We start from the raw sequence: 26,748 nt of genomic DNA, 5'->3' as shown, positions 1-26,748 counted from the left end.
TGGCATCAAACAACAGAAATTTATTCTCTGACAGTTCTAGCAGCCAGAAGTCTGACATCAAGGTGTCAGTAGGGCCATGTTCCCTCTAAAGGCTCTAAGAAATAATGCATCTCATGCCCCCCTCCTGATTTCTGGTTGTTGCTGGCAATCCTTGGGTTCTCCGACTCGTAGATGCATTGATCCAACCACTGCCTCTGTCTTCACGTGGCATCTTCCCCATGTGTTTCTCTGCATCTCTTCTCTACTTCATATGAGGAACCAGTCACTGGATTCATCCATCCTCCTCCAGTAATACCTCTTTTAATTTAACCAGTTACACCTGCAAAGACCCTATTTCCAAGTAAGCTCATGTTCTGAGGTTCTGGGTAGACATAAATTTTGGGGGGACACAACCCAATTCGAGAGCCTCCATTGTCAGGTGAGGAGGGGACGCTAGCATGCTCAGGATGATGGGAGCCATGGCAGGTGTGTGGGCCAAGGTTGGAGGCCATGTGGGGTCTGAATCATCCCCTCCCCAATCCCAGGAAGAAAATAAGAAAGAGGTGGGGCGCGGTGGCTCACCCCTGTAATCCCAGCCCTTTGGGAGGCCAAGGCAGGAGGATCACCTGAGATCAGGAGTTTGAGACCAGCCTGGCCAACATGGCAAAACCCCGTCTCTACAAAAATACAAAATTACAAAAATTACCTGGGCGTGGTGGCTTTCTATTATAGATTGAGAAAAACGGTAGGCTGGGCATGGTAGCTTACGCCTGTAACCCAGCACTTTGGGAGGCCGAGGCAGGTGGATCACTTGAGGTCAGGAGTTCGAGACCAGCCTGACCAACATGGTGAAACCCTGTCTCTACTAAAAATACAAAAAGTTGGCTGGGCATGGTGGTGGGCACCTACAATCCCAGCTACTCAAGAGGCTGAGGCAGGAGAATCACTTGAGCCTGGGAGGCAGAGGTTGCAGTGAGCCGAGATCACACCACTGCACTCCAGCCTGGGTGACAGAGCATGACCCTGTCTCAAAAAAAAAAAAAAAAAAAAAAGAGAGAGAGAAAAACCCAGCCTTATTTGGGGGGAGCCGTCAGGGCTGCAGCGTCTAATACTGGGGACGGTTGAAGCAAGGGGCTGGATTTAAAAAATGACCTCCCGGAGGCAGGGCCTCCCCATAGGGTAGGGTATTGTAGTCCTGAACTCATTTGCATACAAGGCAATCCAGCCAATCAGAGCCCAAGGCCATGGGCCCGTTGTCTGGGTTTGGCCCATCCTGAGGTTCCATCCCAGGGTGTCAGTCCCGCGGCTGGCCCTGTCCTCAGAGGTTTGTCTCCTGCTGGTCTCGACCACCATCATGTCCAACACAGGGGGTCCAAGAGCCAGCCCCCTCCAGCTCCTTCTGCCCCAAGAAAAACAGACGATCCTCATTGGTGGGCAGGAAGCCAGGGGGCTTCTTGTTTCCAGTGGGGAGTTCTTCAGGACCCTGGGGAAAAGTGGGAAAAAGAGACCCCATCAGAGACCCTGTCCCCACCCTGTTCCGTGTCAGCTCATCTCCCAGATGGGCTACTGATGACCTGGCGGGACGGGGCGTGCACAGAATTGCATACTATCCCCTTGCTCAGTGCACGGGCCAGTCCTGCCCGCTCTGCCTCCAAAATTTCCATGCGCTTCTCTTCCCCACTCACATGTCACCTACAGCCCAGGCCATCAACGCTTTCTCAGATGCCTGCTATAGTTCCTCCCTCCTTTCTCTGCTTCTCTGCCTGTTCACCTTCAAGAAAATAAATATTTCTGGCCGGGCACGGTGGCTCACCCCTGTAATCCTAGCACTTTGGGAGGCCAAGGTGGGCAGATCACTTGAGCCCAGGAGTTTAAGACCAGCCTGGCCAATATGGCAAAACCCCATCTCTACCAAAAATAAAAAAATTAACCAGACTCGGTGGTGCATGCCTATAATCCCAGCTACTCAGGAGGTTGAAAGATGGGAGAATTTCTCGGACCATGGAGGTTGGGGCTGCAGTGAGCCATGGTCATGCCACTACACTCCAGCCTGGGCAATAGAGTGAGTCCCTATCTCAAAAAAAGGAAAAAAAAAAAAGACAAAAAAGAAAAAAAACACACAAATAAAACAAAGACAACAAAAAAGAAAAATAAAATAATAAAGAACAAAAAAAGAGAGAGAAAGAAAAAAAAGAAAAGAAGAGAAAGGAAAAGAAAAGAGGAAAGAAAGAAAAGATAAACACTTCTCTAGGGCAGCTGGAGGGAGCTTTAAACACCTTCAGGCAAACCCCTCCCCTCCCAATCCCCTTCTCAGTCAAAGCTGTTCCTGTCTGTGGCTGGTTCCTCTTCTCCTAACTCAGGGTCAATCAATGTCACCTCTCCCAAGAGGCCACCCCTGACTTCCCTGGCTAAAGTTGCTCCCCATCACAGCATCCGGTTTTATTATCCTTTGAATATTTATCATGCTGAGACCCTACACGTTTTTCTTTTTAGCTTGCTCTCTCTCTCTCTCTCTCTCTCTCTCTCTCTCTCTCTCTCTCTCTGTCTTTTCTTTCTTTCTGACAGTGTCTGGCTGTTGTTGCCCAGGCTGGAGTGCAATGGCACAATCTCTGCTCTCTGCAACCTCCACCTCCTGAGTTCAATCGATTCTCCTGCCTCAGCCTTCCGAATAGCTGGAATTATAGGCATGCACCACCACACCCGGCTAATTTTTTGTATTTTTAGTAGAGATGGGGTTTCACCATGTTGGCCAGGGTGGTCTCGAACTCCTGACCTCAGGTGATGCACCTGCCTAAGTCTCCCAAAGTGCTGGGATTACAGGGGTGAGCCATCACGCCTGGCTCTTTCCTTTCCTTCCTTCTTTTCCCTCCCTCCCTCCCTTCCTGCTTTCCTATCTTTTTGACGAAGTCTTGCTCTGTCACCCAGGCTGGAATGCAGTGGCGCGATCTCAGCTCACTACAACCTCTACCTCCCGGGTTCAATTGTTCAATTCTTCTGCCTCATTCCACTGAGTAGCTGGGATTACAGGCACACGCCACCATGCCCGGCTAATTTTTGTATTTTTAGTAGAGACAGGGTTTTGCCATGTTCGACAGGCTGGTCTTGAACTCCTGGCCTCAAGCGATCCACCTCAACCTCCCAAAGTGCTGGGATTACAGGCGTGAGCTACCGTGCCCGGCCTGACAGCATCTGGTTGTATTATCTTTTGAATGCTTATCACATACTGAGACAGACCCTACATGTTTCTCTTTTTAGTTTTCACCTGCCCCTGCTAGATGAGGGTGGGGTGGGGGTCTTAGACCATAGCCCAGAGCAGGACTGGGTACACAGCAGGTGCTCAATAAATGAGAGAATGGAACAGGGATTCCAAAACAGGGGTAGGCATGGGATCAGGTCCCCCAGGGACAGCATTTTCCAAACTCTGGGAATTCACAAAGCAACCACGCGGTTTTAGCCAAAATCGGTTTACCATCTGTTGTGTTTCTTATGTAAGATTTTTTCCCCAAGTTGACTCACTTTTGAATTAAGTAATTTTATTTTAAGAAGAGACTTTACATCAATACCCTAACAGCACACCAGTTTCACCTGCCAAAGATTGGAAGTCACTGTAAAAACAGATAACGACAAAAAGGAATAGTATTCAACTTTGTTCAGTCCTTATGAAGGGAGATAACAAAAACTTGAAGATGAGGCTGGGCTCGGTGGCTCATGCCTGTCATCCCAGCACTTTGGGGGTCTAAGGTGGGTGGATCATTTGAGGTCAGGAGTTCGAGACCAGCCTGGGCAACATGGTGAAACCCCATCTCTACTAAAAACATAAAAATTAGCTGGGTGCGGTGGCATGCGCCTGTAGTAGCAACTACTCAGGAGGCTGAGGCAGGAGAATCGCTTGAACTCGGGATGTGGAGGTTGCAGTGAGCCGAGATTGCACCACTGCACTCCAGCCTGGGCAACAGAGCGAGACTCTGTCTCAAAAAACAAACAAACAAAAAGGAATAGTATTAAACTCTGTTCAGTCCTTGTGAAGGGAGATAAAAACTGTTGAGGATGAATCAGCTCCCAATAGAGTCTTTTGACTGGAGATAATGAGCGATGGAGAAAGGTGCTGATATACCATGTCCCTCCCCTGAGCTGTGGTCACGTCCTAAAGTCACTTGGCTGCCTCTAGATCTGGGAACCCAGCCTAAGACTGACCTTGACCAAGTTGTCATCCAGGATGGCCACTTCTTCCTTGGGGGCCACTGATGCTGTCTGCCGTGCGAGGTCCCACCACAACAATCCCGGGGCCAGGGTGCTGCGCTTGGTGGGGCCTGAGAGGCGGGGAGAAATGGAGAAATCCAGGCATTCAGTGAAGGGGTCATGGGGGTTGGAGACCAGGTCCTGGGAAGGAGAAAGGAGATCCCTGGTCTATGAAGTCTAACAGGCTCCAGTCCCACTAAGGGACCCTGGCAAGCCTCTGAGCCTCAGTTTCCTCATCTACACAGTGAAGTTGTAATAAAACATCAGTGAGGCCAGGTATGGTGGCTCATAATTGCACTTTGGGAGTCTAAGGCAATAGGATTGCTTAGAGTTGCCCAGTAGTTGGAGACCAGCCTAGGCAACATAGCAAGAACCCATCTCTACAAAATATTAAAAAATTAGCCAGGCATGGTGGTGTGTGCCTCTAGTCTCAGCTACTTGGGAGGCTGAGGCAGGAGGATTGCTTGAGCCCAAGAGGTCGAGGCTGCAGTGAGCCGTCATTGTGCCACTGCACTCCAGCTTGGTGACAGAGTGAGACCCTGTTTCTAAAACAAAACAAAACAAAACAAAACAAAAACATCATTGGAGGTTGGGCACGGTGGCTCACGCCTGTAGTCCCAGCACTTTGGAAGACCAAGGCAGGGGATCACTTGACGTCAGGAGTTCGAGACTAGTCTGGCCAACATGGCGAAACCCCATTTCTACTAAAAATACAAAAATTAGCCAGGCGTGGGGGTGGGCGCTTGTAATCCCAGCTACTCGGGAGGCTGAGGTAAGAGAATTGCTTGAACCCGGGAGTCAGAGGTTGCAGTGAGCCAACATCGCACCATTGCACTCCAGCCTGGGCGACCAGAGTGAAACTCCATCTCAAAAAAACAAAACAAAACAAAACAAAGACATTAATGGATGGCTGGGAGGGTCCAGCACACGGTTCCATTCACTGCTGCATCCCCAGTGCCTAAAATAGCGTCCAGCACAGAGGAGGACTCGATAAAGGCCTGATGACTGTGAAGTCTGAGACTCAAGAAGTGTGAGCAGGTACTGTTATCACTACTGACTTTCCCCTCTTTGTCTCCTTCTACTTTTCCGTGGAATTTAGAATTCCCTAACAAGTGCGGAGTCACCGGCAGCTTTAGAAGATATTTCAGCACCAGGGATAGCGCCGCCCGCCCCAACCCATATCCTCTACTGAGGACTTAATCTTGTTGGGGAGAGGAGTTGCAGGCAATGCCTCCGTTTCTGCCTCTGCAAAATAGGGCAAGCTCTGAGAGGTGCAGGGTTGTCAAGAAAGCAACATAGCTTTAAAGGGTGTAAATGTGAGCCGGGCACGTTGGCGCGCACCTGTAGTCTCAGCTACTCGGGAGGATGAGGTGGGAGGATTGCTTTCAGCTCAGGAGTTCAAGGTTGCAGTGAGCCATGATTGTGCCACTGCACTCCAGTCTGGGTAACAGTGAGACCTGTCTCTTTTCTTTCTCTCTCTCTTTCTCTCCTTCTCTCTCTCTCTCTTTCTCTTTCCTTCCTTCCTTCCTTCCTTCCTTCCTTCTTTCTTTCTTTCTTTTAGATGGAGTCTCACTCTCTTGCCCAGGCTGGAGTGCAGTGACGCAATCTTGGCTCACTGCAACCTCCATCTCCCAGGATCAAGCGATTCCCTTACCTCAGCCTCCCAAGTAGCTGGCATTACAGGCGCCTGCCACCATGCCCAGCTAATTTTTTTGTATTTTTAGTAGAGACGGGGTTTCACCATGTTGGCCGGGCTGGTCTTGAACTCCTGACCTCAGGTGATCCACCCGCCTCGGCCTCCCAAAGTGCTGGGATAACAGGCATGAGCCACTACGCCCAGTCGACCCCGTCCCTTTAAAAGAAACTATATATATATACACTTTCTTTTATGTATATATATAGTCATAATTTTTATATATATTCATAATTTCTTTTATGTATATATACACATAAAAGTGTGTATGTATGTGTATATATACACACACACTTCTTTTTTCCTCACAAACTTTTTTTTTCCTTTTAAAAAAATAGGTACAGCCCAGGTGCAGTGGCTCACACCTATAATCCCAGAACTTTGCGAGGCCGAGGTGGGCGGATCACTTGAGCCCAGGAGTTCGAGACACATGGCGAAACTCCGTCTCTACTAAAAATGCAAAATTAGCCAAGCATGGCGGCACACACTTGTAATCCCAGCTACTCGGGAGGCTGTGACATGAGAATCGCTTGAATCTGGGAGGTGGAGGTTGCAATGAACTGAGATCACACCACTGCACTCCAGCCTGGGTGACAGAGTGAGACTCTATCTCAAAAATGATGATGATGATGATGATGATGATGATAATAATAATAATAATAATAATAATAATAAGGTACAAATGTGTACAGCACACAGTGGCAGTTTGGCCAATGGGAGCGTCCTTTCTCCCCTCCCTGCTGGGTGGAGCCTTGAGGCAGAGAGATGAATGGGATGACCTCTGAGGCCACATGCTCTGTTTACCTACCTGTCAGGCAGCTGATGAGGGCTCCGCACAGCACAGTGGTCAGCGTGCCCAGGGCACCGTAATAGAGATAGGAGATGGCATAGAAGCTGTCAGCTAAGGCGGGTCGGCTGGCGTCCATTCCTGAGCTGCAGGTTGGGAGAGACAGACTTGAACCTCCTCTTTTATCCCCTGCCTGCACTCAAAAGCTGTTCCAACCTCACCCCCTGCTTCCTTCCCCCAACTGCCATGGCCTAGCACAGACCTCCATTACTGTCTGCCCAGATCTGTGCAGTAGCCAATGTTCCTTCCCTCCAGGTATCCCATCCCCACCCTAGACGTCCTCCACACACAGCCAAAGGGCACATTACTAAAATGTAACTCAGATCACCTGCTGCTGCCCGTCACCCTCTGTGGCTCCCTGTCACCCTCAAAATCAAACCAAATTAAACTCTCAGAAGAAAACATAGGTGGGAATCTTCGTGACTGCAATTGTTTCTTAGATATGACGCCAAAAGCAAAAGCCACCAAAGAAAAAAATAAATCAATTGGACTTCATCAAAAATTAAAAACTGGCTGGGCGTGGTGGCTCACACCTGTAATCCTAGCACTTTGGGAGGCCAAGGCGGGTGGATCACGAGGTCAGGAGATCGAGACCATCCTGGCTAACATGGTGAAACCCTGTCTCTACTAAAAATAAAAAAATAATAAAAAATTAGCCAGGCCTGATGGCGGGTGCCAGTAGTCCCAGCTACTCGAGAGGCTGAGGCAGGAGAATGGCATGAACCCGGGAGGTGGAGCTTGCAGTGAGCCGAGATCACACCATTGCACTCCAGCCTGGGCAACAGAGCGAGACTCCATCTCAAAAAAAAAAAAAAAAAATTAAAAACTTCTGGCCAGGCATGTTGGCTCATGCCTGTAATCCTAGCACTTTGGGAGGCTGAGGCAGGCTGAGGTCAGGAGTTGAAACCAGGCTGGCTAACATGGTGAAACCCCATCTCTACTAAAAATATAAAAATTAGCCTGGCATAGTGGTGTGCACCTGTAGTCACAGCTACTCACGAGGCTGAGGTGGGAGAATCCCTTGAACCTGGGAGGTGGAGGTTGCAGTGAGCTGAAATCGCACCACTGCACTCCAGCCTGGGTGACAGAGTTAGACTCCATCCGCCCACCAAAAAAAAGAATTAAAAACTTCTGTGCATCAAAGGATTCTATCGAGAGAATGAAGACAACCTACAGAATGGGAGAAAATATCACATGCAAATTATACATCTGATCAGGGGCTTGTACCCAGAATACATAAAGATATAAAAATATGTAAATTATAACTCAACAATAAAAAGACAAATCACCCAATTTAAAAATGGGCAAAGGGTGTTTTTTTGTTTGTTTGTTTTTTAATTTGAGGCAGGGTCTTGCTCTGTTGCCTAGGATGGAGTGCAGTGGTGGGATCATGCTTCACTGCAGCCTTGGCCCCCCAGGCTCAAGCGATCCTCTTTGCCTCAGCCTCCCAAGGAGCTGGGACTACAAGTGTGCACCACCATGCCCAGCTAATTTTTTCATTTTTATTTTTATAGAGATAGGGTCTTTCTATGTTACCCAGGCTGGATGGGCAAAGGGTTTGAATAGACATTTCTCCAAAGAAGATGCACAAATGGCCAATGAAAAGAAAGATGCTCAACATCATTATTCATCAGGGAAATGCAAATCAAAACCACAGTGAGGTATCACTTCACACCCACTAGGATGGAGAATAATGAGTATTGGCGAGGACGTGGAGAAGTTAGAATCCTCATATGTTGCTGGTCGGAATGTAAAATGATGTGGCCGCTGTGGAAAACAGTCTGGTAGTTCCTCAAAAAGTTAAACATAGGCCGGGCGTGGTGGCTCAGGCCTGTAATCCTAACACCCTGGGAGGCCAAGGCAGGCGGATCATCTGAGGTCAGGGGTTTGAGACCACCCTGACCAACATGGTGAAACCCCTTCTCTACTAAAAATATAAAAATTAGCCAGGCGTGGTGGCATATGCCTGTAGTCCCAGCTACTCGGGAGGCTGAAGCGGGAGAATCGCTTGAACCCAGGAGGCGGAGGTTGCAGTGAGTGGAGATCACACCACTGCACTCCAGCCTGGGCGACAGAGCAAGACTCCATCTAAAAAAAAAAAAAAAAAGTTAAAGAATTACCATATGATCCAGCAATTCCACTCATAGGTATATACCTAGAGAAATTAAAACATATGTCCATACCAAAACTTGTTCACAAATGTTTTTGGTTTTGTTTGTTTTTGGTGGAGTCTCACTCTGTTACCCAGACTGGAGTGCAGTGGCTCCACTGTACTCTGCTGTAATCCCAGTACTTTGAAAGGCCAAGATGTGTGGATCTCCTGAGGTCAGGAGTTCAAGACCAGCCTGATCAATATGGTGAAACCCCATCTTTACTAAAAATACAAAAATTACCCAAGCGTGGTGGCATATGCCTGTGACCCCAGCTACTCAGGAGGCCGAGACAGGAGAATTGCTTGAACCTGGGAGGCAGAGGTTGCAGTGAGCTGGGATCACGCCACTGCACTCCAGCCTGGGCGACAAAGTGAAACCCCGTCTCAAAAAATATATATGTATTATGCTAAGACACAAAAGATCACATATTTTATGATTCCATTTACATGAAATGCCCAGAACAGGCAAATTCATAGAAACAGAAAGTGGATTCGTGCTTGCCAGGAGCTGGGGAGAGGGGGAAGTGGGAAGTGACTGCTGATGGGGACAGGGCTTCTTTCTGGGGTGATAAAAATGTTCTTATGACCAGGAACAGTGCCTCACACCTGTAATCCCAGCACTTTGGGAGTCAGAGGCAGGCAGATCACTTGAGCCCAATACTTTGAGACCAGCCTGGGCAACATGGCAAAAACTCGTCTCTATAAAAAATACAAAAAATTTAGCCCAGCATGGTGATACATGCCTATAGTCCCAGCTACTTGGGAGGCTGAGGCAGGAGGATCATCGGAGTCTGGAGGTCAATGGTGCAGTGAGCTGTGATTGTGCCATTGCACTCCAGCCTGGGTGTTAGAGTGAGACCCTGTCTCCAAAAAATCAAATAAACAAAAAGCAAAAAAACCCACCCAAAAAACCAAAATAAATAAATAAATAAATAAACAAAACAGAAAATGTTCTTGGTTGGCTGGGTGCCCACACCTGTCATCCTGGCACTTTGCAAGGCTGAGGTGGGCAGATCGCTTGAGCCCAGGAATTCCAGACCAGCCTGGGCAACATAGCCAGACCCTGTCTCTACAAAAAATAAAAATAAAAACAAGCAGGACATGATGGTGTGCACCTGTGGTCCCAGCAACTAGGGGGGCTGAGGTAGGAAGATTCCTTGAGCCCAGGAGGTTGAGGCAGCAGTGAGCTATGATCGTGCCACTGGACTCCAGCCTGGGCAACAGAGCAAGACCCTGCTCCAAAAAAAAAAAAAAATAGAAAATGTTTTTGGGGCCAGGCACAGTGGCTCACACCTGTAATCCCAGCATTTTGGGAGGCTGAGGTGGGCGGATCACCTGAGGTCAGGAGTTCAAGATCAGCCTGGCCAACATGGTGAAACCCCATCTGTACTAAAAATACAAAATTAGAAAAAAAAAAGAGGAAACGTTCTTGACTTAGATAGTGGTGATGGTTGCACAAATATACTAAATGCCACTTTAATTTATTTATTTGAGTTGGAGTTTCATTTTTGTTGCCCAGGCTGGAATACAGTGGTGCGATCTCAGCTCACTGCAACCTCCACCTCCTGGGTTCAAGCGATTCTCCTGTCTCAGCCTCCCGAGTAGCTGGGATTACAGGCACCTGCCACCACGCTTGGCTAAGTTTTGTATTTTTAGTAGAGACGGGGGTTTCCCCATGTTGATCAAGCTGGTCTTGAACTCCTGACCTCAGGTGATCCACCTGCCTCAGCCTCCCAAAGTGCTGGGATTACAGGTGTGAGCCACTGTGCCTGCCTGGCCTAAATGCCACTTTTAAATGGCTAATTTATCTCAATAAAAAATAGAACCAAACCAAATTCTGGGCCTCCCTCAAGCTGGGAGGATTGCTTGAGCCTGAGAGGTTGAAGCTGCAGTAAGCTGAGATTGCACCCCTGCATTCCAGCCTGGACCACAGAGCGAGGCTCTGTCTCAGAAAAACAAAACAAAAAAAGTACTAGCTTCCTCTGGCTGCACCATATCTCCCACCCATCTCTCCTCCCATTAAATGCACCCTAACCTCAGTGCAGTTGGACTGGGACTAACCCGATTGTGGCCTCAGGGCCTTTGCACCTACCGTTCCCTCCCCCAGGAATGCATTTTACTAATCAGGCTTCTTACACAGAGTGCAGGGCAAGTAAGTTTCCCTTCAAGATCACACCATCCAGGGCTCGGGTACCCCCCTACCCTCAAGTCTGCTCACCTGGGGGCCCTGCTGGAGTCGTTAGCAGGGAGGAGAGCCGGGTCCAGGAGGCCAGAGGCGTTGACTGAGAGAGCCACGCAGCGGGCAGCCGACGATGGCAGGACCCTCATGGTCTGCTCGCTGGGTGGGTACAGCGTGGCGCCCAAGGCCACCCACAGCGACAGCGCCAAGCCCGCGCCTAGTCCCGCGAGGACGCCCTGGGGGCAGAGCCGGCGTCAGGGAAGGGGAGGGGCCTGTCCGGCCCCGCCCCTCCCCGCCCCTTGCCCCGCCCCCACTCACCGGTGTGTTGCAGGCCGGCAGGAACATTCCCAAGATGAAGGCTCCCAGCAGGGGGCCGCTGATGACTCCCATGACGGTGAAGGAGCCCTGGGAGAGTAGGTGGAAGTGGGGCTGAGGGCGGAGCCCTCCCACCGCTCTGGGCCTCAGTTTACCCGCTGGGAAAGCGAGACCTCAGGAACTCCAATGTGGGTCTCAAGGACTCCTCTGTGTCTCAGTTTCCCTAAAGGGGAGAGGACCCCCCCCCCTTGTTCCTGCCTATCTCCCTTGGGTTGGAGGCAAAGACACTGATTATCTCTTGGGGGTGGCAGTCCCACCCTCAAGCCAGGGAGACCCTTTCTTCTTCTTTTTTTTTTTTAGACAGAGTCTCACTTTGCTGTCCAGGTTGGAGTGCAGTGGCGCGATCTTGGCTCACTGCAACCTCCATAGGGAGGCCCTTTCTGTCGCCACCTCCCCCTTCCCAATTCCCCCACCCCAAGCCAGCCAGCTGCAAAAAAGTCCCCTGATGGCCTCTGGCATCAAATAGAACTTAGTTCTTAATCTCAGCGACTTGGAAGGCTGAGGCGGGTGGTTGCTTGAGGCCAGGAGTTCAAGACAAGCCTAGGCACGAAGCGAGACCCTGTCTCTAAAAACAAGTTTTAAAATTAGCCAGGCCAGGCGTGGTGGCTCACACCTGTAATCCCAACACTTTGGGAGGCAGAGGCGGGTGGATCACTTGAGGTCAGGAGTTCGAGACCAGACTGGCCAACATGGTGAAGTCCCATCTCTAATAAAAATACAAAAATATAAGCTGGGCGCGGTGGCTCACGCCTGTAATCCCAGCACTTTGGGAGGCCGAGGAGGGCGGATCACGAGGTCAGGAGATCGAGACCATCCTGGCTAACACGGTGAAACCCCATCTCTACTAAAAATACAAAAAATTAGTCAGGCGTGGTGGCGGGCGCTTGTAGTCCCAGCTACTCGGGAGGCTGAGGCAGGAGAATGGCGTGAACCCAGGAGGCTGAGCTTGCAGTGAGCCAAGATGGTGCCACTGCACTCCAGCCTGGGCAACAGAGCGAGACTCCGTCTCAAGAAAAAAAAATACAAAAATATTAGACGGGCATGGTGGCATGCACCTGTAATCCCAGCTACTCTGGAGGCTGAGGCAGAATTCCTTGAACCCAGGGGGTGGAGGTTGCAGCGAGCTGAGATCATGCCACTGCACTCCAGCCTGGGCAACAGAGTGACACTCCACCTCAAAAAAAAAAAAAAAAGAAAAAAGAAAAAAATTAGCCAGGCATGGTGGCACACACCTGTAACTCCAGCTACTTGGGAGATTGAGGTGGAAGGATGGCTTGAACCCAGGAGCTGGAGGTTGCAGTGAGCTATGATCGGGCCTCTGCTCACCAACCTGGGACAACACAGTGAGACCCCATCTCAAAAAAAAAAAAAACATAGAAGTGAGTTCTGCCACTGACACATGTGACCTCTCTGAGCCTCAGTTTAATGGGAAAGAGGGAAAGGTGCCCCCACCTCTCAGGAGACCAGGGCAGGGGGCAGGTGGGGTCTCACCTGAAGGACACCTCCTCCGAGCAGTGAGGACAGGGCTGCCACGGTGAGACAGGCCGATCCGTAGATGAGTGCTGTAGTGGATGAGGATGGCACGGTCAACGGGGAGGGACTGCCCTGGCCTCCCACCCAGGTCTCCCTGAAACTCACAGAGCCCCTTGGAGATAATCACGAGTTTCCTGGGTGCCAGGCTCCGCAGCCGAGGTTTGATGAGGTCTTCTACAGTGACTGCAGCCATAGCATTGATGCTGGTGGATGCTGTGCTGTGTGAGGAAGGCAGCGGGGGGTCCTCAGGCCATATGGAGAGACCGTCCACACCATCTGGCCTGCCAGACCTCACCCAGCCTGAGGGCAACGGTGGGGGTAACCCAGTCCTGCAAAGGTGAAGGAGATATTTGCCCCTCCCCTCCCCGAAGACCTGAGACATCCCTACAGGAGCAAGGACACCTGTGACCAAGGGCAGGTGGGACAGACAGGTGGGTTCTGGTTCCAGAGGGACTGCAGTCACATGTGGGAGATTTGCAAAAGGGACAGTGAGGGCATGTGACCAGAAGTCCCGGAAGAGTGGAAACCACCTGAGTGTGTGGCCTTGGAAGGCAGAAGCAGGGGACTGCTTGGTCATGGCTGTGCCCCAGGGTTTAGAACAACAGTACCTGGGCTGAGCACGTTGGCTCATGCCTGCAATCTCAGCACTTTGCGAGGCCAAAGCATGCAGATCACCTGAGGTCAGGAGTTCAAGACCAGCCTGGCCAACATGGCGAAACCCCGTCTCTACTAAAAATACAAAAATTAGCCGGCTGTGGTGGCGTGGACCTGTAATCCCAGCTACTTGGGAGGCTGAGGCAGGAGAATTGCTTGAACCCAGGAGGTGGAGGTTGCAGTGAGCCGAGATGGCACCACTGCACTCCAGCCTGGGTGACAGAGCAAGACTCCATCCGGAAAAAAAACAAAAAAAAACAGTACCTGCCACATAGTAGATGTTCAACAAATATTTGTCTGGGGAGGAAGGAAGGAAAGAAGGAAGAAGAAGAGAGGAGAGTCAGGCGTGGCCCTGACAGGTGATAAGAAGGTAAACCCTTGCAGTTGGGGTCCCTGTGCCCAGGGCATGCTCTCTGCCAGCGCCTACCTGAGCTGTCTTCTAGGGATCAAGCAGGAACTGGGACTGATGGACAGGTCCAGAACATTCCATGCCCCAGAGGGATGGCAGGCCAGGATAAGGAGGCTCCCAGGGGCTGAAATAATGCTCCATGAACAAGCAGGGGTGCTCACCTGAGGGTGCCACTGTAAGCACAGGCCAGGAAAAGCCCGGGGACTCCAGGCAGATCTTCGAAGATGTCCAGCACCAGCAGAGGCATGTACTGGGGAGAACTGGGGGTCAGCCTCCCAGACAGCTGCACCCCGAGGACCGGGGCATCTATCTGTCCTGATGCTGCACGTCCCCAGCACCCAAGACGGACAGGGCTCAGAGTCGGCATTTAATATGCATTTAGTTTTTGTCTGTGGTTTTGTTTTGTTTTGTTTTGTTTTGAGAAAAGATCTTGCTCTGTTGCCCAGGCGGGAGTGCAGTCCCATGAATGTGGCTCACTGCAGCCTAGAACTCCTGGGCTCAAGCGATCTTCCTGCTTCAGTCCCCCAGTAGCTGAGACCACAGGTGTGCGCCACCATGCCTGGCTAATTTTTTTAAATTTTTGTGTAAAGATAGGGGTCTGGCCGGGCAGGGTGACTCACGCGTGTAATCCCAACACTTCGGGAGGCCGAGGCGGGTGGATCACTTGAGCTCAGAAGTTCAAGACCAGCCTGGCCAACATGGTGAAACCTCATCTCTACCCAAAATACATAAATTAGCTGGGTGTGGTGGTTGGCACCTGGAGTCCCAGCTACTTGGGAGGCTGAGGCAGAGGAATTGCCTGAATCTGAGAGGTAGAGGTTGCAGCGAGCGGAGATCGCGCCGTTGCACTCCAGCCTGCACAACAGAGCCAAACTCTGTCTCAAAAAAAAAAAAAAAGAAAGAAAAGAAAGAAAGGCCGGGCACAGTGGCTCATGCCTGTAATCCCAGCACATTCAGAGGCTGAGGCAGGTGGATCACCTGAGGTCAGGAGTTTGAGACCAGCCTGGCCAACATGGCAAAACCCCACCCCTACAAAAAATACAAAAAAATTAGCTGGGCATGGTGGCGCATGCCTGTCATCCCAGCTACTCGGGGGCTGAGGCAAGAGAATGGCTTGATCCTGGGAGCCAGAGGTTGCAGTGAGCTGAGGTTGCGCCACTGCACTCCAGCCTGGGCAACAGAGTGAGACTCTGGCTCAAAAAAAAAAAAATTGTGTAAAGATGGGGTCTCCCTATGTTCCTCAGGCTATAATGTGCATTTGTTGATCAACTGCATGAACCTGAGAATTGTCCCTGAGCCCCACTGTGTTCTGAGCCCTGGGATCCCTGTGAAGCAGGGACCCGTGTCATCCTCATTTTATTGATGAAGACTGTGAGGCAGAGAGTACAGTCCCTCCCTGAAGTTACACAGTCCAGCAGTCCCGGATCTGACCTCCAGGGAGGACTGCAGATGGGGTGGTCCCCCGTACCCTCTGCTAACTCTGAACCCCATGGTCAGAACTCTACTTGGGGTGTGACCTAGGCATGGGTCCTGGCACCGCCCCCCGACTTGCCCATTGACCTCAGGCAGTGACTTCCCCCCGAGCCTCAATTTCCTCATCTGTAAAGTTGGAGCCGTGACTGCCCTGCCTTTCTCAGAAGAAAGATTAGATGGAGAACTAACTGCTGGTGAAGGGAACAGCATGAGGCACAGAGTGGACGCTTGGGACATGGGAGACCAGAGCTGTCATTATTATTATCACCAACATGATTAGTTCCCGCTGGATTACAGTTTTTGTTTTTGTTTTTGTGGGTTTGTTTTGTTTTGTTTTTATTTTTGTTTGAGACGGAGTTTCTCTCTTGTTGCCCAGGCTGGAGTGCAATGGCGCCATCTCAGCTCACCGCAACCTCCGCCTCCCAGGTTTAAGCTATTCTCCTGCCTCAGCCTCCCGAGTAGCTGGGATTACAGGCATGCACCACCACACCCGGCTAATTTTGTATTTTTCAGTAGGGACGGGGTTTTTCCATGTTGGTCAGGATGGTCTTCAACTCATGACCTCAGGTGATACCCCTGCCTCAGCCTCCAAAAGTGCTGAGATTATAGGCGTAAGCCACCGCGCCCAGCCTTGTTTTGGTTTTTTTTTTTTGTTTTTTTTTTTTTTGAGATGGAGTCTCTCTCTGTCACCCAGGCTGGAGTGCAATGGCGCGATCTCTGCTCACTGCAACCTCCACCTCCCGGGTTCAAGCTATTCTCCTGCCTCAGCCTCCCGAGTAGCTGGGATTACAGGCATGCATCACCAGGCCTAGGTAATTTTTGTATTTTTAGTGGAGGGGGGTTTCACCATGTTGGCCAGGTTGGTTTCGAACTTCTAACCTCAAGTGATCTGCCTGTCTCGGCCTCCAAAAGTGCTGGGATTACAGGCGTGAGCCAACATGCCCGGCCTGGGTCATGGTTTCATCTCCTCCTGAGCATCTCCCAGGGGATCTTTGGAACTCTCTGGAACTCTAGATCTGAATGTGGCCCTTGTCTGCTCACACCTACTGAGGGCGGTCCATTGCCTCCCAGACTCACCTTTCCCATTCCTTGCAGATCCTCCTCTGAACTCTTTATTTTATTTTATTTTATTTTTTTGAGACAGAGTCTCACTCTGTCATCCAAGGTGGAGTGTAGTGGTGCGATCTCCCTTCATCGCAACCTCCGCCTCCCGGGTTCAAGAGATTCTCCTGCCTCAGCCTCCTGAGTAGCCGGGACTACAGGTGCGTGCCACCACGTCCAGCTAATTTTTATATTTTTAGTAGAGACAGGGTTTCACCATGTTAGCCAGACTGGTCTCAAACTCCTGACCTCAGGTGATCCACCCGCCTCAGCCTCCCAAAGTGCTGGGATACAGGCATGAGCCGCCGCACCTGGCCTCCTCTCAGCTCTTTCCTACTTCTTGGCCTTTGCACAGGCCATTCCCTCTGCTAGGAATGCTCTTCGACCTCAATCCCACCAAGCTAGTGAGGGAGTGCAGAGCCAACCAGGAGCCTGGGTGGGACTCACCTGGTCTGGGGCAGAGATGCGCCCCAGGAGGAGAGGGTCGCAGTCAGTGTAGAACACAAACATGACGATGCCACAGCAGGCAGCGCTGGACACGATCAGGAACAGGCCGACCTGGTTGATGAGCAGGGCCCTGGGGGAAGAGGCAGCCTCAGGCTTAGGGGATAGCCTCAGGCTGGTGGAGGGGGGCAGCATGTCCCAGAAACCCCGACCTTGCTCCCCGAAACACTCACAGCTTGGCCTGCTTCTCTGTGCGGCAAGCCACGTAGCGCTGCACCTGCGCCTGGTTCACGCCATACATGGAGAGCCACACCAACGTGCCACCCACCACAAAAGTCCAGAATGTATAGCGGCTCCTCGGGTCAGGGTTAAAGCTGGGTGGGGACAGGGCAAGTTAGCCACGTGGAGATGTCACGCTGACTTCACCCTCCCAAGGGCCCCAGACAGCGCTTCTGGACCTTATAGGGGACATTTGGAGTGGGTTTTGTTGGCCAGGCGCAGTGGCTCATGCCTGTAATCCCAGCACTTTGGGAGGCCAAGGCGGATGGATCACCTGAGGTCACAGTTCAAGGCCAGCCTGGCCAACATGGTGAAACCCCATCTCTATAAAAATACAAAAATTAGCTGGGAATAATGGCGGGTGCCTCTAATCCCAGCTACTTGGGAGGCTGAGGCAGGAGAATCACTTCAACCCAGGAGGCGGAGGTTGCAGTGAGCTGAGATCGTGCCATTGCACTCCAGCCTGGGTGACAGAGCGAGACTCCATCTCAAAAAAAAAAAAATTAATTAAATTAAAAATAAATAAATAATAAATGGAGTGGGTTTGACATATGCATAGGCATTTGCCAGATTGAAAATTCACGTATTTGTTTACTGAATCATCTATCCACGCACTTAAAAACCTTTCTTTGCCCAGCTGAGAGTTCAGAGAGGCTTTAGCCCCCAATCTGGTCTGAGGGGAGGAGAAGAGAGCAGCGAGGGCCTCCTGGAGCAGGAGGCATTGGCTGATTTCTACCATCCCACGGCACAAAGGGAGCCCAGCCCCATCCTCTTTTTTTTTTTTTAAAGATGGAGTTTCGCTCTTGTTGCCCAGGCTGGAGTGCAATGGTGTGATCTCGGCTCACCGCAGCCTCCGCCTCCTGGGTTCAAGCGATTCTCCTGCCTCAGCCTCCCCGAGTAGCTGGAATTACAGGCATGCGCCACCACGCCCTGCTAATTTTTTTTTTTTTTAGGGGGGGGACGGAGTCTCTCTCTGTCACCAGGCGGGAGTGCAGTGATGCCATCTCGGCTCACTGCAACCTCTGCCTCCTGGGTTCAAGCAATTCTCCTGCCTCAGCCTCCTGAGTAGCTGGGATTACAGGCGCCTGCCAGCATGCCCAGCTAATTTTTGTATTTTTAGTAAAGACGGACTTTCATCAAGTTGGCCAGGATGGTCTCAATCTCTTGACCTCATGATCTGCCATCCTTGGCCTCCCAAAGTGCTGGGATTACAGGCGTGAGCCACCGCGCCCAGCCTAATTTTGTATTTTTTAGTAGAGATGGGGTTTCTCGATGTCGGTCATGCTGGTCTCAAATTCCTGACCTCAGGTGATCCCCCCGCCTTGGCCTCCCAAAGTGCTGGGATTACAGGCATGAACCACTGCACCCAGCCTCTTTTTTTTTTTTTTTTTGAGACAGGGTCTAGCTCTGTCATCCAGGCTGGAGTGCAGTAGTGTGATCTCAGCTTGCTGCAGCCTCCACCTACCGGGCTCAAGCAATCCTCCAGCCTCAGCCTCTCAACTACCTGGGACCACAGGTGCACCACCACGCCCAGCTAATTTTTGTATTTTTGTAGAGATGGGTTTTCACCATGTTGCCCAGGCTGGTCTTGAACTCCTGAGCTCAAGTGATCTGCCCGCCTCGGCCTCCCAAAGTGCTGGGATTACAGGCATGAGCCACCGCACTGGTCCCAGCCCCATCCTGCTGGAGTATCCTCTGCATTTTCACTCACTCCATGAGGTTGATCCGGGAGTGGTTCTGGGCCAGCGTGAGCACCTGGCGGGGCCCGCCCACAAGCATGACACCGCGTGCCAGGACAACCCAGAAGCCACTTAGCATCACCACGACCTGGAACACATCAGTCCAGACCACAGCCTTCATGCCGCCCTGCAGCATGGGACAGAGAGAGGGAGAGGGGCGGTTAGATGGGGGACCTGGCCTTCAGTGGTGCCTAGGACTGATGCCCTTCTATGCCTCAGTCTCCTCCTCTCTAAAGTGGGATTAATAATAATACCTTCTTACTGTGTTGTTGTAAGAATTAAGTTAGTTATTTTATTTTTAAAGAAAAGGTTTCTGTCTTTTGCCCAGGCTGGAGTGCAGTGGTGTGATCACAGCTCACTGCAGACTGGAACTCTTAGGCTCAAGTGATCCTCCTGCCTCAGCCTCCGGAGTAGCTGGAGCTACAGCAGGTGCCACCATGCCCGACTAATTTAAAAAAAATTTTTTTTGTAGAGATGGGGGCGGGGGGGGGTCTCACTATGTTGCCTAGGCTGGTCTCGAACCCCTGGCCTCAAGTGATCCTCCTACCTTGGCCTCTCAAAGTGCTGGGATTACAGGTATGAGCCACTGTGCCCAGTAGAATTAAACAAGTTAATAAGTGAAAAAGATTTGGAATATGACTTGACATATACGAGTGTCAGTGAGTGATTGCTGCCATTACTATTATTATTATTATTATTATATTTTTTTGAGATGGAGTCTTGCTCTGTCGCCCAGGCTGGAGTGCAATGGCGCAATCTCCACGCACCGCAACCTCCACCTCCCGGGTTCAAGCGATTCTCCTGCCTCAGCCTCCTGAGAGGCTAGGATTACAGGCGCGTGCCACTGCGCCCAGGTAATTTTTGTATTCTTAGTAGAGACGGGGTTTCATCATGTTGGCCAGGCTGGTCTCGAACTCCTGACCTTAGGTGATCCGCCTGCCTCTGCTTCCCAAAGTGCTGGGATTACAGACGTGAGCCACCGCGCCCGGCCGCCATTACTATTATTATCACTACGATGATAATATCGCCATCAAGGTCAGACCTGAGCCAGCCAAAGGTAGCCCTCCCTGGGACCTCAGCCAGCCCCAGGATGAAGCAGGAGCTCACTTCCTGCTGGACTGGAAGCCAGAAGAGGTGGAAGCCTGGATCCAGCCATGCCTGAAGCTACCATACCTCTAGATTCTCAGCAATAAGCTTTTCAGATCATTTTTCACTATAAAGATGAGGACACTGGGTCCCAGCTGGGACAGAGGCTTCCTCAGGAGAAAGGGGCAAGCCCAGAGTCTCCCCACAAGAGACACAGTGGGCCCGATCCCCCGTATGGAGTGAGTTCCCAGGGCCACTCACCACAGCCGTGTAGAAGGTGCAGATAATTCCGGTGGACAGGAGCGACGCCCAGATGTCCAGCCCGGTCACTATGCAAAAAGAGGTCCCCCTGTTAGGCCCCTGGGCGGGGCGCAAACTTAGTCTTGGGTTCTCCTCTCCCTCCCTTTCTCTTCCCAGACATGCTTCCCTAATCTCCCAGAGTCACACCTTGGTTCAGGATGAGGGCCGGTGCGTAGATTACGATGCCGGTGTACAGCATCTGTAGACAGAGTGTGGGGCGGGTGAGCAGGGAGGGCGTCTGGGCGAGTTGGGGATGGGGAGAGGAGGCAGAAGGGTGGTCCCAGAATATGGGCGGGGCAGATAGGCCGGGTCTTCCAGAGTGCAGGCGGGGTCAGGCCGGCTGTGGTGTGGGAGGGGACTGATGGGGGCGGGGTCAGAACGGGAGCATGGGGGGCGGGGTCTGGGCGGGGTCTTGAATGGTGGGGGCCGGGCTAGTGAAGGCTGACGCTCTCGGGGCCCTGAGCGGAGGGCGGGGCCGAGGCCACTCACCGTGGCTACAATGTACTGCAAAGTCCCGCAGAGCCGCACTGCGCGGCTGAAGCGCATCTCCAGGTACTGCAAGGAGGGACTCGAGGTCACCTGGACAGTCCTTACCCAGGAGCCGAGGCCTCTCGGGTCCCTGGTCTGCTCTCTAGGTGGGCCCCTCCCTCCGGAAGCCAACCGCGCCCGCCAGATTCTTGCACGTGGGGGCCCCGCCGCACGCACACACCCGTGCACAGGTGCCATCCCGTGCCTGTGCGTACCCCGTGGACCTGGAGGACTGGTCCATGCGTGTGCACGCGCCCTCCCACTTGCGCCTGACGGGCGCGGGCTCCTGGAGCAGCCACCGCTCAGCAGACACCGACGTGGCCCGCAAGCGCACAGTGTAGACAGTGCCCCGGGCCAATGGTGTTGGCCGCCTAGGATATACCTGTCACGATTTTTTTGGGGGGGAGGGGGGACGGAGTCTCGCTCTGTCGCCCAGGCTAGGGTGCACTGGCACGATCTCGGCTCACTGCAACCTCCGCCTCCCAGGTTCAAGCAATTCTTCTGCCTCAGCCTCCTGAGTAGCTGGGATTACAGGCGCGCGCGACCATGCCCGGCTAATTTTTGTATTTTTAGTAAAGACGGGGTTTCACCATGTTAGCCAGGCTGGTCTTGAACTCCTGACCTCGTGATCCACCCACCTCGGCCTCCCAAAGTGCTGGGATTACAGGCGTGAGCCACTGCGCCCTGCCACAATATTTTTTTTTCCTTTGAGACAAGAGTCTCGCTCTGTCGCCCAGGCTGGAGTGCAGTGACGCGATATCGGCTCACTGCAACCTCCCGGGTTCAAGCAATTCTCCTGTCTTAGCCTCCCAAGTAGCTGGGATTACAGGTGCCCACCACCACATCCGGCTAATTTTTGTATTTTTAGTAGAGACGGGGTTTCGCCATGTTGGCCAGGCTGGTCTTGAACTCCTGACCTCAGGTGATCTGCATGCTTTGGCCTCCCAAAGTGCTGGGATTACAGGCGTGAGCCACCGCACCGGGCCCCGGTCACGATTTTAATCGCTTTACCCTCTCCCCTGGAGGGAGGTCCTGTAATTCGCCCATTGGACAGCTGGGAAACCCAAACAGAGAGGCACGCCCCTTGCCCAAGATACAAGAAAGCAGTGAAGCCAGGTTTCGAACCCCGGAGCCGTCAGCAGTCCCCTCTAGCGCGCACACGTGGGTCTGCACGCCCGGGCAGGTGGGGGGCAGGTGTGTGTCCACCCGTGAGGACACACCTGGTCGAGCCGGGCCCCGCCCCGCGCGCGCTTCCACCGAAGGAGCAGGACGCCAGGCTCTCTCTTCCTCCTTCCTGCCCCTCGCCGGGCGCCTGGGGCCTCTTCCTAGAACCCTCCCCACGTGTCTGCCTAGGGGCCCCTTCCGTTAAAGCACCGAGGTGCCATCCGCGTCCTCCTGTACAGCGGCCCAAAGCCCCAGCGCCTCCCCCACACGGGGTCCCAGCACTGCCAGTGGGGCAGGTCCTACCCCCGGGCCTCTGTCCGGTACCTCGTAGGTGCTGGTGAGGCCCAGGCGGTAGAAGACGGGCATGAAGAGCAGGGCGGTGAGGACCGAGTTCAGAAGCTGGCCCAGGCACATCCAGAGGAACTTGAGGCCATAGCGATAGGCCTCCGACGGCACGCCCAGCACCTGCACGGCCGACATGAAGCTGGCAGACAGCGACAGGCCCACGGGCAGGGCCGCCAGGCGCCGGCCCCCGGTGAAGAAGTCCTCAGCGCTGCGCTGCCCGCCCCGAGCCAGCCCGACCCACAGCCCGATGCCAGTGGACACCAGGAGCATGAGGGCAAAGACCCCGTAGTCCCAGGCTCCGAAGGTGGGCCGTTCCCCGGTCTCCACGGCCTCCATGAGGGCGGGTGCGGAGGCCCAGCGCGTCCTCGGACGCCCTGCGTGCTCAAGCGGGGGAAGCTGGCAGGGGCCGAGGAGGCAGGACGGGGAGGGCGGGTGGGAGGATGCTCGGCAGCCTGTCCCCGCTCCGTCTGGGGTGGGAAGCGGCGAGAGGGGCCGGGGCTCCCTGGGTTAGGAATCTATGGGCTGTCGATGTCCGTGTCGGCCTCCCTGTCCCCGCTGTCTGTCTCTGCGTCCGCCCCTGCTGTCTGTCTGTCCTGCCACCTCCCCTCTCACTCTGGGTTCCGCTGTCCCATGCAGCCGGCTGTCTGTCCCTCTCCCTGGGCGCTGTGCTCAGCGCTGACAGCTGGAGGTCGCCTTGGGGCTTACGGGAGCAGCTCGTGATTGTGGGTTGCAGATTTATTGGGCTCCCGGGTCACCGCGACTCCGCCTCCAGACCTAGGGGCGGGCAGGACCCGCACCCTTTCAGCCCTGGACTGGGACAGACAGGCCAGGACAGGCTATCTGGGTGGCTGCAGGGGGTGGTATCGGGGAGGGCTCCCAAATGCCCCTCCATCCCCATGCACCCACCCATCCCCATGCACTGTGATCCCCTGATCACAGCTGTCACTGTCTGCTGTTGACAGGTGGGGAAATTGAGGCTCAGAGAGGGCATGTCACTATCCAAGCCTGCACAGCCTGCTTCAGCACTCAAAGCCGTATTGTGCTTGAATACCTTGAGCTATGGGGAGCTCACTTTCATGCAGGACTGGGGTTCACTTTCAGGGTTTCAGGGGACCCATAAAGAAAACTTACCTGGCTTTACCACCCCCAAACTGGCATGTGGGCCTACCCCCTTTCTCTAGAGCCTTAGGGGGTGGGCATCACTGAACCCCGCTCTTGGGCTAAGCTGGGTGGGAGACATTCAGAGCTCAAGTTCTGAGTGGGTACATACTTGGGGAAGACTTTGCTCCTCCCTGGGCCTTAGTTTCCCCATCTGTAACAAGGATAAAATAGACCCTGCCTCAGAGGAATAAATGGGACGTGGTAACGAAAGCCTGGTACATGATAAGTGCCTCATTCATTTATTCCTTTATTCATTTGTCACTTCATTCATTCATTCATTGGTTCCTTTGCAGATATGCACTGAGAGTTGGCCCTGTGCCAGGCATAAATGGCTCACTGAGGTGGTGCGAGGGGCCTTTAAGGTTATGAACCCGAATAAGCGGAGACCATGACCACCAGGGAGGTAGAGTCTGGCTTGTCCCTATCATATAGATGAGGAAACCAAGGTTGGGTGTGGGAGAAAGTCTACTGGGGGGGTCACGCTTCCATGAGGACCAACGAGCTGTCATCTCAGGGCCCTTCTCTGGGGGACCCAGGAGGACTTTGACCTCTGGAGGTTCTGGTCTCTGGGTTCAAGTCTCAGCTCAGCCTCCAACTTTCTGGGCAATCACGCATCTCAAACTTGGTTCCCTTCTCCATAAGCTGGTGGAATCTGAAATCCTGGGGGTTGAAAGAAACAGCGTCAGAGGCCGGGCATGATGGCTTATGCCTGTAATCCCAGCACTTTGGGAGGCTGAAGTGGGAGGATCATTTGAGTCCCAGAATTCGAGACTACCCTGAGCAACATAGTGAGATCTTGTCTGTATGAAAAATACAAATATTAGCGAGGCGTGGTGGCACATGCCTGTAATCCCAGCTACTCAGGAGGCTGAAGTGGGAGGATCGCTTGAGCGTGGAAGTTCGAGGCTGCAATGAGCTGTGGTCGAGAACTGCACAGCACTCCAGCCTGGGCAGCACAGCAAGACCCCGTCTCCAAAAAAAAAAAAAAAAAAAAAAAAAGGGCTTTTGAGCGCTTCTCGCCAGCCTCTGCTGCTCCCTGGTGGCCTCCTCTGGCCTACCCTCTGCCCTGGCCGCTCCAGCTGGGTCCAGCGTTTCTCAACGCGTCCCCACGTAACCCCCGGACAGTCCTCTTGCTCCCTCTCTGCTGTGCAGGGTGGACCTGTCCCTCCCCCGGGGCTGTGACACTGCGGCGGCTACGCGGGCACCTGTTGCCGGCTGGAGCGTACCTCCTGCCCTCGCCAGGAGAGTGGGTTAGGCACCTAGTTCTTTCTCCTTCCACCCTGGTCAGGCATCCTCCTGGAAACCCCGTTGGAAAAGGGGAGATCCGGCCGGGTGCGGTGTCTCACTCCTGTAATCCCAGCACTTTGGGGGGCCGAGGCGGACGGGTCTCTTGAGATCCGTTCAAGACCAGTCTGGCCAACATGGTGAAACCCCGTCTCTACTAAAAATACAAGAATTAGCCGGGCGTGGTGGCGGCCGCCTGTAATCCCAGCTACTTGGGAGGCTGAGGCGGGAGAATCGCTTGAGCCCGGGAGGTGGAGGTTGCAGTGAGCCGAGATCGCGCCACTTCACTCCAGCCTGGGCGACAGAGAGAGATTCCGTCTCAAAAAATAAATAAATAAACAAATAAATAAATAAAAATCAAGGCTGGGCGCGGTGGCTCACGCCTGTAATCCTAGCACTTTGGGGGGCCGACGCGGGCGGATCACGAGGTCAGGAAATCGAGACCATCCAGGCCAACGTGGTGAAACCCCGTCTCTACTAAAAATACAAAAATTAGCCGGGCGTGATGGCACGCGCCTGTAGTCCCAGCTACTCGGGAGACTGAGGCAGGAGAATCGCTTGAACCCGGGAGGCGGAGGTTGCAGTGAGCCGAGATCGTGCCACTGCACTCCAGCCTGGCGACAGAGCGAGACTGTCTCAATCAATCAATCAATCAATCAATGGGAGATCCGAGCGGGATCCCCTACTTGCAAAGCCCTGCCGACCAATGTAAACATATGCAAATTGTGCAAATACATGTAAATGGACCCCTTCTCTCCAGGGAAGTTCTGGGAAGGCATAGCTTCTCTTCTTCCCACCGTGGGGTCCAGGCTGCGGCCAGAGGCCTGGGCTGAGGCCGGTTCATTGAGTGCATACTGTGTGCAGGGCCCTCCGGCAGGTGCTGGGGACACAGCATGATCCAGGTGGACCCACCCCAGGGTGGTGATGGCCCTGACCTCACCAGCAGATAAATACTGATTTCAGCTGGGCACTGTGGCTCACACTTATAATCCCAGCACTTTGGGAGGCTGAGGTGGGAGGATCGCCAGAGCCCGGGAGGTCAAGGCTGCAGTGAGCAGTGATCACACCAGTGAATTCCAGCCTGGATACAGGTTGAGCAGAGACAGACAATCACGGGGTATCTTCTGGGCCTCCGGAAGGGGTGTGGATTTTGTTCTGAGGGTGCTGGGGAACTGTAGGAGAGTTTGGAGCAGGTGAGGAGTCTGATGAGATTTCTAGATTCTGAAAAATGGGTCATATCCAAGTGGCGGGAGTGGGGTGGCTGCCGAGTGGGGGGAGGGGGGTGGATTTGGAAAGCACTTTGGAATTCCTAAGGAGGCCTGGAGTGAAGGCCCCTGCAGAGTGTGCAGGACCATCTCCTGCCCTAGCGGAGGGAATTGTGAGCCTGGAGAGGAAAAGCAGCAGAGTGGGGAGAATCAGGTCACACCTTCCTTGACTGTGATTCCAATGACAGAAGCGGGCAGCAGGACCCCAGGATGTGAGTTAGGAAGGGCCCAAGGCCGCGGCAGACAATGTGAGCAGAATGTGCAGGAATGGGAGAGTGGTGGCAGTGTCGGGGCGCTGTCCCCTGCCCCTTGGTTCCCTGGGAGATGCAGCAGGGGTTGGGGTGAGAAGTTGTGAGCTGCTGTGACTGCAGCACGACCTGCTGGGTGGCCCTGGACATCAATTCCCCTTCTGTGAGCTAGGAGTGACAGTGGGATTTGAACCCACGCCATGGGGAGCCAGAATCTGTCCTTGAACTTCAACTCTGCACTCAACAAGTGCAAAAAGGCCAGTTTCGGTGG

At 53.1% G+C, this 26,748-nt stretch overlaps 1 protein-coding gene across 5 annotated transcripts, besides 6 other annotated features; it reads right to left on the bottom strand.

Moving 5' to 3' along the window:
• On the bottom strand, window positions 1-23,230 carry SLC5A5 (solute carrier family 5 member 5). Of its 5 annotated transcripts, none has more exons than XM_011528193.4 (16): window positions 23,132-23,230; window positions 22,499-22,639; window positions 20,972-21,037; window positions 20,630-20,681; window positions 20,444-20,511; window positions 19,069-19,223; window positions 17,312-17,452; window positions 17,082-17,211; window positions 14,222-14,343; window positions 13,103-13,215; window positions 12,956-13,026; window positions 11,408-11,494; window positions 11,129-11,325; window positions 6,720-6,844; window positions 4,174-4,289; window positions 1-1,462 (listed from the first exon to the last, which is right to left on the bottom strand). In XM_011528193.4, exons 2-16 carry the CDS (start codon window positions 22,586-22,588, stop codon window positions 1,298-1,300), a joined length of 1,698 nt encoding a protein of 565 aa, XP_011526495.1. In that variant the 5' UTR covers window positions 22,589-22,639; window positions 23,132-23,230; the 3' UTR covers window positions 1-1,297. The 5 variants fall into 5 exon arrangements, with proteins under 5 accessions (XP_011526495.1, NP_001427636.1, XP_011526494.1 ...); NM_001440707.1 differs by having other exon boundaries at window positions 14,222-14,310; XM_011528192.3 differs by having other exon boundaries at window positions 22,499-23,230.
• Window positions 7,585-7,744: an enhancer, noted in NCBI's record as "active region_14288". NCBI's record gives its function as "activates an Ori minimal core promoter by ATAC-STARR-seq in GM12878 lymphoblastoid cells {active_cell/tissue: GM12878}" and the evidence as "EXISTENCE:reporter gene assay evidence [ECO:0000049][PMID:35858748]".
• Window positions 16,834-17,333: an enhancer, noted in NCBI's record as "H3K4me1 hESC enhancer chr19:17988651-17989150 (GRCh37/hg19 assembly coordinates)". NCBI's record gives its function as "activates a minimal SCP1, AML or CMV promoter by ChIP-STARR-seq in naive H9 embryonic stem cells {active_cell/tissue: H9 hESC(naive)}" and the evidence as "EXISTENCE:reporter gene assay evidence [ECO:0000049][PMID:30033119]".
• Window positions 20,688-21,460: an enhancer, noted in NCBI's record as "H3K27ac-H3K4me1 hESC enhancer chr19:17984524-17985296 (GRCh37/hg19 assembly coordinates)". NCBI's record gives its function as "activates a minimal SCP1, AML or CMV promoter by ChIP-STARR-seq in naive H9 embryonic stem cells {active_cell/tissue: H9 hESC(naive)}" and the evidence as "EXISTENCE:reporter gene assay evidence [ECO:0000049][PMID:30033119]".
• Window positions 20,766-20,895: a silencer, noted in NCBI's record as "silent region_10362". NCBI's record gives its function as "represses an Ori minimal core promoter by ATAC-STARR-seq in GM12878 lymphoblastoid cells {active_cell/tissue: GM12878}" and the evidence as "EXISTENCE:reporter gene assay evidence [ECO:0000049][PMID:35858748]".
• Window positions 25,108-25,761: an enhancer, noted in NCBI's record as "OCT4-NANOG-H3K4me1 hESC enhancer chr19:17980223-17980876 (GRCh37/hg19 assembly coordinates)". NCBI's record gives its function as "activates a minimal SCP1, AML or CMV promoter by ChIP-STARR-seq in naive and primed H9 embryonic stem cells {active_cell/tissue: H9 hESC(naive and primed)}" and the evidence as "EXISTENCE:reporter gene assay evidence [ECO:0000049][PMID:30033119]".
• Window positions 25,762-26,415: an enhancer, noted in NCBI's record as "OCT4-NANOG-H3K4me1 hESC enhancer chr19:17979569-17980222 (GRCh37/hg19 assembly coordinates)". NCBI's record gives its function as "activates a minimal SCP1, AML or CMV promoter by ChIP-STARR-seq in naive and primed H9 embryonic stem cells {active_cell/tissue: H9 hESC(naive and primed)}" and the evidence as "EXISTENCE:reporter gene assay evidence [ECO:0000049][PMID:30033119]".

The sequence above is a fragment of the Homo sapiens genome, chromosome 19 (genome assembly GCF_000001405.40).
Source record: "Homo sapiens chromosome 19, GRCh38.p14 Primary Assembly".
Classification (NCBI taxonomy): Eukaryota; Metazoa; Chordata; class Mammalia; order Primates; family Hominidae; genus Homo; species Homo sapiens.
Note: the sequence above shows the minus strand (reverse complement) of the source record. Positions and strands in the feature narration are given on the sequence as shown.